General features: G+C 50.1%; 1 protein-coding gene across 1 annotated transcript in view, besides 2 other annotated features; it reads right to left on the minus strand.

Annotated features, from left to right (window-relative positions):
• Positions 2,278–2,979: an enhancer, noted in NCBI's record as "H3K27ac-H3K4me1 hESC enhancer chr16:10715105-10715806 (GRCh37/hg19 assembly coordinates)". NCBI's record gives its function as "activates a minimal SCP1, AML or CMV promoter by ChIP-STARR-seq in primed H9 embryonic stem cells {active_cell/tissue: H9 hESC(primed)}" and the evidence as "EXISTENCE:reporter gene assay evidence [ECO:0000049][PMID:30033119]".
• Positions 7,042–7,336: an enhancer, noted in NCBI's record as "tiled region #10228; HepG2 Activating DNase matched - State 5:Enh, and K562 Activating DNase unmatched - State 6:EnhF". NCBI's record gives its function as "activates a minimal TATA promoter and a strong SV40 promoter by Sharpr-MPRA in HepG2 cells, with weaker activation in K562 cells {active_cell/tissue: HepG2 | K562}" and the evidence as "EXISTENCE:reporter gene assay evidence [ECO:0000049][PMID:27701403]".
• Positions 8,531–12,398, minus strand: part of TEKT5 (tektin 5) — a 67,430-nt gene continuing 63,562 nt past the window's right edge. Inside the window, exon 7 of the mRNA NM_144674.2 lies at positions 8,531–8,829. Coding sequence (NP_653275.1) covers positions 8,613–8,829 — 217 coding nt within the window. The 3' untranslated portion in view covers positions 8,531–8,612. The remainder of the gene's footprint in view (positions 8,830–12,398) is intronic.

The following is a 12,398-nucleotide window of genomic DNA, read 5'->3' on the forward strand; positions in this document are numbered from 1 at the left end:
TCTGGCAGAATCAGGCTTCTCTCCCAATTCCCTCTTCCTATCGGGCCCTGGCTAGCCCGGCTTCTGCAGGCCTTGGCAGAGGGAGGAGGGGAAGCCCAAGTGGCCTGGAGGCCCCAGCTCCGCTCCTCTCCTTGTCTTGGCAGACAGAAAGCTGTAGACTGGGTTTTGGCATCTCCCACCGGCTGTGTCTGCCTCAGCATCCCCCCAGACCCAGCGGTGGGTGGGCACCCCCTAGGGAACCTGTTGGTCCTACTGCCAAAAACCCCTTTGCTCTCCAGAAGGTGATGTCAGGTCTACCCCCCATCCCCCGACACACATTCCACCCACCTCCTCCAGCCCAGAAGGGGTCACCTGCCAAGACGCTAACTGATGGGCCGCAGGGAGCTCAGAGGAGCAGGCATGCGGCTCCTCGGGCAGAGTCCTCATCCCTGCACCTGACTCAGCCCCGCGCTCCTACCACCACCTCATATGCTCCAAAGTCTTGAGGAGGAAACGGGGAGCAGGGGGATCCCCAGCGGCTTCTCAATCCCGCAGAAGCTGGTGGGTAGGACGCAGTGGCAGTGGGGGGAGCAGGTGGGCAGTGCCCACGGTGGGCTGGGCTGGGTTGGAACAGAGCTGGCCAGATGCCCGAGGTCTGCGCAGGGGTGTGACGGGTGTGGTGCGCGTCAAAGGGCGGGGCTGCAGTGGCTTCATTTGCATGCAACCGTCATGGCGCCGCCCCTGACGCCTACCATAATTCTTGATCTGCGATCTCCCCACCTCCGCAGCAGCCAGACTTTCCCCCACCCAGCCTCGTTATCTCCTCTTTTATTAGATTTAATGCTCCTAAACCAAATTGCTGGAATCCAGGGAAGACAGATGGGGGTTAGGGACAGAATGAACCCTGCCCTGCAAACTGATGATACTGCTCCCTATTCCATTTCTGGAAAAAAATCAAGTCCACTGGGATTTCTGAGAAACCAGTATGGAGAGGTGCGACAGGGAGGGTGTCATATCCCAACAGCGTGTTCTGCATCCTTCCATTCCAAAGGTCATTTACTCTCTTCCCCAGCTTCCTGGGGTCCTCAATCTCTCTCCTCATCCTTCTCTTATTCCAGAGGCAGCGGTGAGTGAGAAGCCCCCTTCACCCAGCAGGCACCACTGTCTTGCTAAATCTGAGTGCAAGTCAGCGAGTCCTAGGTGGGCAAGGCCCCTGCAGGGTCTCCCACCTGCCAGGTAGCTCTCCGTTTTGAAGCAGGGTGTCCCTAACAGCTCCTAGGCCAGCAGGACCAGCTAGTGAGAGCCTGCTGTGTGCCAGTCTCTGTGGCCCCGACCTCATATACATTCAAATAACCCTTGCTAAGTAAGCCCTTATGAGTAGAGACTATTGTCATTGGCCCCATTTTACAGATGAGAAAACCAAGGCTTGGAGCGTGTGAGTGAGTGGCAGAGGCACCCACAGGGGGAGCTGAAGAACTCGGATTTAAATCCAGGCAGAGGGGCTTCAGACTAAGAGTGGGTGCTTTAAACTCAAGCGCTGACCCATAAAAAGGGTGAAAAGCTGTCATCTGTGCTGGGACAGACATAGGGTGACAGGATGCAAAAGCACAGAGCACCCTTAAGAGGTGACAGGGGCCTGAGTCGGGACTAAGGTGAGCCAAGGGAGGCGTAAAATGTGATGAGGTCCATGGGTTTGTGCCAATGCAGACCCTATAGTTGAAGGGCCATGAGAGCAGGTCCTCCTTATGTGTATATAGATTGATTTATTACATAAATTTTCAAGATATTTTCCAAATTTTTAATCACTAAGTTTTCTTGTATCTAATGGAAATTTCCATGCAGAAATTTCCTTAGAAAGGTTCAAGAATAAGGTTGGAGGAAGGAAGAGAATGGGCTGCACCAGCCATAACTGACCCTTTCTCTTTCTTAAAAAATCAAGGTGAAGGCCGGGCGCGGTGGCTCACGCCTGGAATCCCAGCACTTTGGGAGGCCGAGGCAGGCAGATCACGAGGCCAAGAAGTTCGAGACCAGTCTGACTAACATGGTGAAACCCCGTCTCTACCAAAAATACAAAAATTAGCTGGGCATGGTGGCGGGCGCCTGTAATCAGGAGGCTGAGGCAGGGGAATCGCTTGAACCTGGGAGGCGGAGGTTGCAGTGAGCTGAGATCGCACCACTGCACTCCAGCCTGGGCGACAGAGAGAGACTCTGTCTCAACAAAAAACAAACAAACAAACAAAAAAATCAAGATGAAATAGAAACTATTTTAAAGCATTCAGGAGTATTCACAGTGAATTCACAATGTTCATCAGCTCTATCTAGTTCTAAAACATTTTCATTGCCAACCGGAGACCATGTACCCTTGGGCAGTTGCTCCCCAGTGCCTTCCCCCAGATAATCAAGAGTGAAGTGAGGCCAGGCATCATGGCTCACACCTGTAATCCCAGCACTTCGGGAGGCTCTTTAGGAGGATCGCTTGAGGCCAGGAGTTGCAGACCAGCTTAGGCAACACAGTGAGACCGTGTCTCTACAAGAAATAAACAAAATTAGTTGGATAGGGTGGTGTGTGCCTGTAGCCCTGTAGTCCCAGCTACTCTGGAGGCTGAGAGCAGGGAATTGCTTGAATCCAGGAGTTGGAGGCTGCAGTGAGCCATGATCACACCACTGCACTCTAGCCTGGGTGACACAGTGAGACCCTGTCTGGGAAAAAAAAAAAAAAAAAAAAAAAGGCCAGGCTCAGTGGCTCACACCTGTAATCCCAGCACTTTGGGAGTCCGAGGCAGGTGGATCACTTGATCTCAGGAGTTCAAAGACCAGCCTAGGCAACATGGTGAAACCCTGTCTCTACAAAGAATACAAAAATTAGCCGGGTGTGGTAGCATGGGCCTGTAGTCCCAGATACTTGGGAGGCTGAGGCATGAGAATGGCTTGAACCTGGGAGGCAGAGGTTGCAGTGAGCTGAGATCACGCCACTACACTCCAGCCTGGGGGACACAGTAAAACCCTGTCTCAAAAAATAAAAATAAAGTAAGAAAAGAAAAAAAAAAAAAACTTGAAGTGACCCAAAGTGAAGACTTCTTAGATTTTGCACTCCCAGTGTCCTGCCTGCCTTGCCTCGCCCTGGTCCTCCCTGATCTGCCGTTCAGTTCGTGGATAAGGACAGCCTCTTATCTGCTCTCAGCTCCTAAAGGCAGCCCCTTATCAGGAGAGGAGGCCCACACCCCTGGGGAAGGCAGGTCTCTCTCATTCACACCCTCAGCTGATGGGTCTCCCTTATCTTCCGAGACCACCAACAACCCAGGGCCCAGCAGGGGCGGCTGCAGACACCCACTCCCAGCACACACACACACACACTGCCAGGTGCTGACCTACCAGGCATGGGGCCTGGGCCAGCAGCCCCTCGGATATCCCCAACTCAGGCTGTCCAGGGTTCTGCGGCCCATGGGTGCCCACACCCGTGCCTGCCCCCGGAGGAGCGCCAGGAATCCCAAGCAGCCTTGCTGGGTGGGGGTGGGGAGGGAGGGGCCAGCTGTCTCGGAGACACAGAGAATTCCACCGGGGAGCTAGTCTGGGGTCACATGGGATGGGAGAAGGTGCGGCAAGAGGCTTATAGCCCAGCCCCCTGTGCCATATGGAGACCAAGAATGTTCTGCATGTGGAATAAGACTCCATATCGCCCCTTAGGAATTTTAATTGTGTGCTTTAAACCTGTCTCCCATTCCTGCTCCGCCCCCCACCCCTCACCCTGGGAGCAGGGACACTTGTTTAGAGTGCCTTGGGAATCACAGGAGCCAACAGCCAGGACTTTGTGTGACAGTGACGCACTGACATTTCTGGACCAGGCAAAAAATGCAGCCGCCTCCCTCCCAGGCAGTGCCTTGTCACTGACACTGGCTGGGAGTAGAGAAGCGGGGGCAGAAGCACCAGTGGGGGGCCACCTGGGTGGTGGGTGCATAAGCGCTGAAGGCCAGGGCCAACCCATCCTAGCTGTGTAACTGTGGGCAAGGGACCTAGACTCGCTGTGCCTCAGTTTCCTTATCTGTAAAGCGGGGTTGAGCACGGGGATTAGATAGAGCACTTGGCGTCTATCTCCCAAGCATTCAAGCTGTTAGCACCAGTTGTTGTTGTTGTTTTGTTTGTTGTTGTTTTAGAAATAGGGTCTTGCTCAGTCTTCCAGGCTGGAGTGCAGTGGCACCAACCTGGCTCATTGCAGCCTTGAACTCCTGGACTCAAGTGATTCTCCTGCCTCAGCCTCCCAACTAACTGGGACCACAGGTGCACACCACCGTGCCCAGTGAATTTTTTTTGTAGAGATGGGGTCTTGCTATGTTGTCCAGGCTGGTCTCGAAGTCCTGGCCTCAAGCAATCCTCCCACCTTGGCCTACAATTGTTATTGTTATCATTACTCTCTTCTCCAGAGAATGGAGACACGTTTAATCAAATCAGCCCCTCTGAGAGCAAGACTGTGGGGTCCTCTGCTCTTTTAGATGCCCCTGTGGGGCTTGGCCTTTGCCTGACCCTTTTTGGTCTGTGGGTCCACCCTAAACAATAGTTTTTTCTTTATTTGGGAAGCTGTGGTCAGTAGTAGTTCAGACCCTGGATTCTCATAAGTGGACTTAAATCCTGTATCAGTCATTTATTATTTGCAAATCCTCACTTAGGGGGACCATTATATAGATAAGGAGACTGTGTGGCTATGGGTAAGTTTCTTAACCTCTCTGTGCCTTAATTTCCATTTCCATGTTTCAGGGCTCAGTGATAATTAAAATGAGATGGTACTTTTAAAATTGCCTGGCACAGAGCAAATCCTCAATAAATATGAGCTGTTATTCTTAATATATTACTGAATACCCCTTAGATATGGGAGGTATTAGTCCTATCATCCAAACTTAGTCCTCACAGTCACCCATGAATGGGAGAAATGAATATTGGCCCCCTCTGACAGATAGGGAAACTGAGATCAGTGACTCAGTGACTTTCCCAGGGCAACACAGCTAGTGAGGAGTGGAGTCAAATTAGATCTAGTTGTTAAGTTCTGCTCATGCCAGGATCAGTGGCTAGCACCTGACATCCCAGTGCTTTGGGAGACTGAGGCGGGAGGATCTCTTGAGGCCAGGAGTTCAAGAGGAGCTTACGCAACATGGCAAAACCCTGTCTCAAGAACAAAGAAAGGAAGGAAGGAAGGAAGGAAAGAAGGAAGGGAGGGAGGGAGGGTTCTGCTCTTGACCATGGTGTCATCCCACCACCTCTTTTAAATAATGACAGAAGAGGAGAGATTAAGACAGAAGGAGGCCACCTAATCTCTCTCCACATGAGATTAGGTGGCCTCCTTCTTTATATTTTCAGGATTTGTCAAAGAAAATCTATAACAACAGAAGGCCAGTATCAATTCAATAATGTATTGGTTGAACCCAATGGCATCCACGAACATTTCAATAATAGCTTAAAACGTGTTGGAGATCTATTATTTTTTTCTACCCATATTTTGGTGCTCAGATGGGCTCAAGCATTCTGTCCCAATAATGCTGAGGTTTTCCTAGACATCCTCACGGTGGGGGAACCATTATATACAGACAAGGTGACTGAGGCTCACTGAAGTGCAGGGACCTTCCCAACTCAAGTGCCTGACTTCAAACTTGATTTTTCCTGAAAGATCACTGGCCCCCGTCTGCCCAAATGTAGCTGCATCTGGTGGTGTATAGGCCCTGTGACTCCTCGTAGCACCTGTAAGCGCCTGGGGGGGTCACAGTCCAAGTTGACTCATCTGCATTCCCCACTGTACCTGTTGCCCACGTTGCCCAGGAGACATAATAGGTGCTTACCTCAGATGGTAACAGAAGAGAAGGCGAGCAGTGGCCAATTTCAGGAAAGATTAGGAAGGTAGTATGCACCTGACTTGCTGATGAATTAAATGTGGGGTGTGGGAGAAAGAGAGGAATCAAGGATGAGTTCAAGGTTGAGGATCGGCTGGTGGGGCATTTACTGAGGGAGGAACAGAGCGTGGCCTGGAGCTGGGCGAGTAAAGCTAGAAATGTCGTCAGGAGCTGAGTTCAGGAGCCTGGATTTAGAAGCCAGAAGTTTGGGAGTCAGTGGGGGGATGAATGGGATTAAAAGGAGGGGAAGGCACGCTGGGCTCATGCCTGTAATCCCAGCACTTTAGGAGGCCGGGGTGGGCAGATCGCCTGAGATCAGGAGTTCGAGACCAGCCTGGCCAACATGGTGAAACCCTGTCTCTGCTAAAAAATACAAAAAATTAGCTTGGCACAGTGGTGTGCGCCTGCAGTTCCAGCTACTCGGGAGGCTGAGGCAGGAGAATCGCTTGAACCCAGGGAGGCAAAGGTTGCAGTGAGCCGAGATTATGCCATTGCACTCCAGCCTGGGTGACAAGAATGAAACTCCATCTCAAAAAAGAAGAAAAAAAAAAAAAAAAGAGGGGAAGGAGTGAAATCCCCTACAGAAGAGGTATATTAAGAAACAGAGGCCTGGCTGGGTGCAGTGGCTCATGGCTGTAATCTAGCATTTTGGGAGGCCGAGGCAAGCGGATCTTGAGGTCAAGAGATCGAGACCATCCTGGCTAACACAGTGAAACCCTGTCTCTACTAAAAATACAAAAAGTTAGTCAGGCGTGGTGGCGGGCACCTGTAGTCCCAGCTACTTGGGAGGCTGAGGCAGGAGAAATGCTTGAACCTAGGAGGCGGAGGTTGCAGTGAGCCAAGATCGCACCATTGCACTGCAGCCTGGCTGGAGTGCAACAATTCTATGTCATTTAGTGGACTCACAATGTTGTGCAACCAACTCTCTCTAGTTCCAAAACATCTTCATCACTCCAAAGGAAAACCCTGCACACACTAAGCAGTCACGCCCATTACCTTCTCCCAGCAATCACATCTATTTCTTTGGATTTGCCTATTCTGGACATTTCATATAAATGGAATCATACACTATGTGGGATTTGTGTCTGACTTTTTTCACTTAGCATCCTGTTTTCAAGGTTCATCCACGTTGTACCATGGATCAGTGCTTCATTCCGTTTTATGGCTGAATCAGACTCCGTTGTACGGATTCAGCACATTTCGTTTTCCCATCCATCCACGGATAGACATTTGGGTCATTCCACCCTTTGACTAATGTGATCAGTGCTGCTCTGAACATTCGTGTATGAGTATTTGAGGATCGTTTTCACTTCTCTTGGGTAAACATCTAGGAGTGAAATTGCTGAGTCATAGGGCAGTTTTATGTGTAACTACTTTTTGAGGAGTGCAGTGGCATAATCTTGCCTCACTGAAACCTCCGTCTCCCAGGTTCAAGCAATTCTCCCACCTTAGCCTCCCCAGTAGCTGGGATTACAGGTTTGCACCAACACACCTGGCAAATTTTTGGATTTTTAGTAGAGATGTGGTTTCCCCACCTTGGCCAGGGTGGTCTAGAACTCCTGGCCTCAAGTGATCCACCCACCTCGGCCTCCCAAAGTGCTGGGATTACAGGCATGAGCCACCGCACCTGGCCTCCCATAGCTATTTCTCTCTTTTTTTTTTTTTTTTTTTTAAGACGGAGTTTCGCTCTGTTGCCCAGGCTGGAGTGCAATGGCACAATCTCGGCTCACTGCAAGCTTTGCCTCCCAGGTTCACTCCATTCTCCTGCCTCAGCCTCCCAAGTAACTGGGACTACAGACACCTGCCACCACACCCGGCTAATATTTTGTATTTTTAGTACAGATGGGGTTTCACCGTGTTAGCCAGGATGGTCTCGATCTCCTGACCTCGTGATCCGCCCACCTCGGCCTCCCAAACTGCTGGGATTACAGGCGTGAGCCACCACACCTGGCCTCCCATAGGTATTTCTAAAACACTCCAACAGCCAGACACAGTGGCTCATGCCTGTAGTCCCAGCACTTTGGGAGGCAGAGATGGGTGGATCGCCTGAGGTCAGGAGTTTGAGATCAGCCTGGTCAACATGGTGAAAACCTATCTCTCTACTAAAAATACAAAAATTAGCCAGGCGTGGTGGCAGGTGCATGTCATCCCAGCTAGTGAGGCAGGGAAACCGCTTGAACCCCGGAGGTGGAGGTTGCAGTGAGCCAAGATTGCACCATTGCACTCCAGCCTGGGTGACAGAGCAAAACTCCATCTCAAATAAATAAATAAATACTCCATCTACCAAGGCTGGCATTCAAATCTAGAACTTCTGATTGCAAATCCTGGTTATTTTTGTTTTTGTTTTTTTCTCTGCCCCACACTGCTGACAGTCCCCTGCACCTCGGACTACCCTCATTCCATAGATGAGGACCACAGGTTAGAAGCTTGTTCGAGGCCACACAGCTCCTAAGTGACAGAGCTGGGCTCTAGACTTTGAGCTGCCAAGTCTAATCTTAAAACACCATGGTTTACACTGTGCCCCTAAGGTGACAAGCAGGTGATAGAGAGAGAGAGAGAAAAGAAAGGAAAGAAAGAAAGAGAAAGAAAGAAAAAGAAAGCAAGAAAAGAAAGAAAAAGAAAGAAAGAAAGAAAGGCAGGCAGAGAAGAAACAGATAAGAAAAAAAGAAAGTCGGCCCTTTCAAACAAAATACTGTTTTACTTTGTTTCTCAGCCTTTTCCAATTTTACGCCAGCGCGGAATGAGGCGCCAGGGCGGTGCTCAGGTGTGGCCCACCAGGCGCGGGGTGCAGGGGAAGGTCTTACGCATGCCCATGCACTTCTCCTTGTCGATGCAGAGGGTGTTGGCCTTGATGGCGAGCTCGTGCTCCAGCCGGCACTTGGTCATGACCAGCAGCTGCAGCGTGTCCTGTGTCTCCCGCAGCCGCAGCTTGAGGGTCTGCAGGGTGTCGTCGATGGTGAACACCTCGTTCACCAGCCTGGGGTGAGGGCAGAGGAGAAGGCACAGGTTATTCATTTATTTTTATTTGTTTATTTTTTGAGACAGAGTCTCACTCTGTCACCCAGGCTGGAGTGCAGTGGCACAATCTCGGCTCACTGCAACCTCTGCCTCCCGGGTTCAAGTAATTCTGCCTCAGCCTCCCGAGTAGCTGGGATTACGGGCATGCACCACAACACCCAGCTAATTTTTGTATTTTTTTTTTTATTAGAGGCAGGGTTTCACCATGCTGGTCAAGCTGGTCAAGAACTCCTGACCTCAGTTGATCCACTTGCCTTGGCCTCCCAAAGTGCCGGGATTACAAGCATGAGCTATGGTGCCCGACCTAGCACAGGTTATTCGGTTCAAGGTAGATGCACTCACTGTGCACTGGGAACTGTGCCTGGCACTGAGAGACAGCAGCAAGCAAGACAGGCAAGGCTCGGCCCTCCAGGGGAAGGCAGAGGCAGAACAGGTAGACAAGTAAATACACAAGAGAACTGTCAAGGGTAATGTACACAAAGGAAGAAATAAGACAGGATGGTAAAACAGGATAGGAGACCAATCTGGAGATTCCTCGATAAGTTAGACATAGACTTACCACACAGTCCAGCAGTTCCGCTCCCGGGTATATACCCAAAAGAACAGAAAACAGGCGTTCAAACCAAAATATGTACATGAATGTTCACGGCAGCCCTATTCACGATAACCAAAAGGTGGAAGCAGCTCAAATGTCTGTGGATGGATGGATGAGTGGATAAGCACAATGTAATCGAGCCACAGAATGGGAGATTATTCAGCTATAATAAAAAGGAATGAAATACAGCTGGGTATGGTGGCTCACGCCTGAAATCCCAGCACTTTGGGAGGCTGAGACAGGTGGATCACCTGAGGTCAGGAGTTCAGGACCAGCCTGGCCAACATGGTGAAACCCCATCTCTACTGAAAATACAAAAAGTTAGCCAGGCATGATGGTGGGTGCCTGTAATCCCAGCTACTCGAGAGGCTGAGGTGGGAGAAGCTCTTGAACCCGGGAGTCAGAGGTTGCAGTGAGCTGAGATCACATCATTGCACTCCAGCCTGGGAGCCTGAGCGAAACTCTGTCTCAAAAAAAAAAAAAAAAAGGAATGAAATACTAATACCTGCAACAACATGAATGAACCTTGAAAAACATGATGCTAAATAAAGGAAGCCAGACACAAAAGGACAAATATTGCGTGACTGCATGCACAGGAAATGTCCAGAAGAGGCAAAGCCATACGGACAGAAAGTTAACTGGTGGCTTCCAGAGGTCAGGCGGTGGGGAGAATGTAGAAGATTGCTTAATGGGTACGGGGTTTCCTTTTGGGTTGATGAAAACATCACAGAACTAGAGAGTGGTGAGGGTTGCACAACATCGTGAATGTACCAGATGTCACTGATGGTAAATTTTGTGTTACATGTATTTTATCACAATTTTTTTTTTTTTTTGAGATGGAGTCTCGCCCTGTCATCCAGGCTGGAGTGCAGTGGTGCAATCTCGGCTCACGGCAACCTCTGCCTCCCGGGTTCAAGCAATTCTCTTGCCTCAGCGTCCCAAGTAGCTGGGATTACAGGCACGTGCCGCCACACCCAGCTAATTTTTCATGTTTTAGTAGAGACAGTGTTTCACCATGTTGCTCAGGCTGGTCTCGAACTCCTAAGCTCAGGCAATCCGCCAGTCTCAGCCTCCCAAAGTGCTGGGATTACAGGCATGAGCCACCACGCCTGGCCCTATAATTTTTTAATAAACAGGATAACAGGGCCAGCCTTGTCTAGATAAGAGCCTCACTCAGGTCTTCCTTACTGGCCAGGGCACCATCCCCAGCTGCTACGAGTGAGTGTTGGCTGCTAATGGCTCACAGGTCCGCAGTTCTCCAGGCAATTAAGTTGCTCAGCCAATCTGAGCTATCTCACCTGGGAGGATAGTCCCTGCCAGCGGCCACAGACAATGGCTTGGCTGACTCAGGTACAAAGGGCCTCTGGTGCAGACATCTCTGTGATGCACTTCAAGGTCTGGCGCCCCTTGCAGGATCAGCTGGGACTGGGCTGCCCCGTACTACTTCCTCACCCCTCTCCTTCTGAGGCTTTGCTTATCTAGAACTTTCCGAGGGGAGGACTTTTTTTCTTTTTTCTTTTTGAGACAGAGTCTCACTCTGTCTAGGCCAGAGTGCAGTGGTGCAGTCAAAGCTCACTGCAGCCTCAACTTCCTTGGCTTAAGCGTTCCTCCAGCCTCAGCCTCCCAAGTACCTGGGTCTACAGGCGTGCAAAACTGCACTAGGCTAATTTTAATGTTTTGTAGAGACAGGGTTTCACCATGTTGCCCAGGCTGGTCTCAAACTCCCGGGCTCAAGCAATCTGCACAACTCAGCCTCCCAAAATGCTGAGATTACAGGCATGAGCCACCGCACCCAGCTGATTTTAATTTTTTTTTTTTTAGACCAGATCTCCCTCTGTCACCTAGGCTGGAGTGTAGTGGTGCCACCATAGCTTACTGCAGCCTCAAACCTCTGGGTTCAAGAGATCCTCCTGTCTCAGCCTCCCAAATAGCTGAGGCTACAGGCAGGCACCACCACACCTGGCTAATTAAAAAAAAAAGTTTTTATAGAGATGGGGTTTATTTTTTTGCCTCCAGGTTGGTCTCAAACTCCTGGGCTTAAGTGATCCTCCTCCCTCCGCCTCCCAGGAGAGGACTTTGAGCAGAGAAGAAAGATAAGACTTAGCTGGACATGTTGAAGGCCAAGAGGGAAAGTATGTTGCAGCAGTGCCGTGGAGTAGAACTTTCTGCAAAAATGGAAAGATCTATATCTGCACCATCAAATATGGTACCCACCAGCCCCATGGGGCTAATGAACACTTGAATGTGGCCATGCAATTGAGAACCTGAATTTTAGCTGTATTAATTTAAAACTTAAATTTTGGCTAGGCGTGGTGACTCACACTTGTAATCCCAGCACTTTGGGAGGCTGAGGCGGGCAGATCACTTGAGGTCAGGGGTTCGAGACCAGCCTGGTCAACATGGTGGCAAAATGCCGTCTCCACTAAAAATAGAAAAAAATTAGCCAGGTGTCATGGTGCACACCTGTAATCACAGCTATTTGGGAGGCTGACCCAGGAGGCAGAGGTTGCAGCCTGTCATCCCAGCACTTTGGGAGGCTGAAGTGGCAGATCACTTGAGGTAGAGAGTTTGAGACCAGCCTGGCCAACATGGTGAAACGCAGTCCCTACTAAAAATATATCTATATCTATGTCCATATATATATATATACACACACACACACACACAAAAATTAGCGAAGTGTGGTGGCAGGTGCCTGTAATCCCAGATACTCGGGAGGCTGAGGCAGGAGAATTGCTTGAACCCGGGAGGCAGAGGTCGCAGTGTGATGAGATCATACCATTACACTCCAGCCTGGACAACAGAGCAAGACTCCATCTCAAAAAAAAAAAAAAAAAAGAGAGAGAGAGAGAGAGAAAAGCACATGCAAAATTAAAGGGCTTGGGTTTGTTCTCAGTGCTGTGGGAAGCCATGGGGTGGGGGCGGGGGAGGGT

The sequence above is a fragment of the Homo sapiens genome, chromosome 16, assembly GCF_000001405.40.
Source record: "Homo sapiens chromosome 16, GRCh38.p14 Primary Assembly".
Classification (NCBI taxonomy): Eukaryota; Metazoa; Chordata; class Mammalia; order Primates; family Hominidae; genus Homo; species Homo sapiens.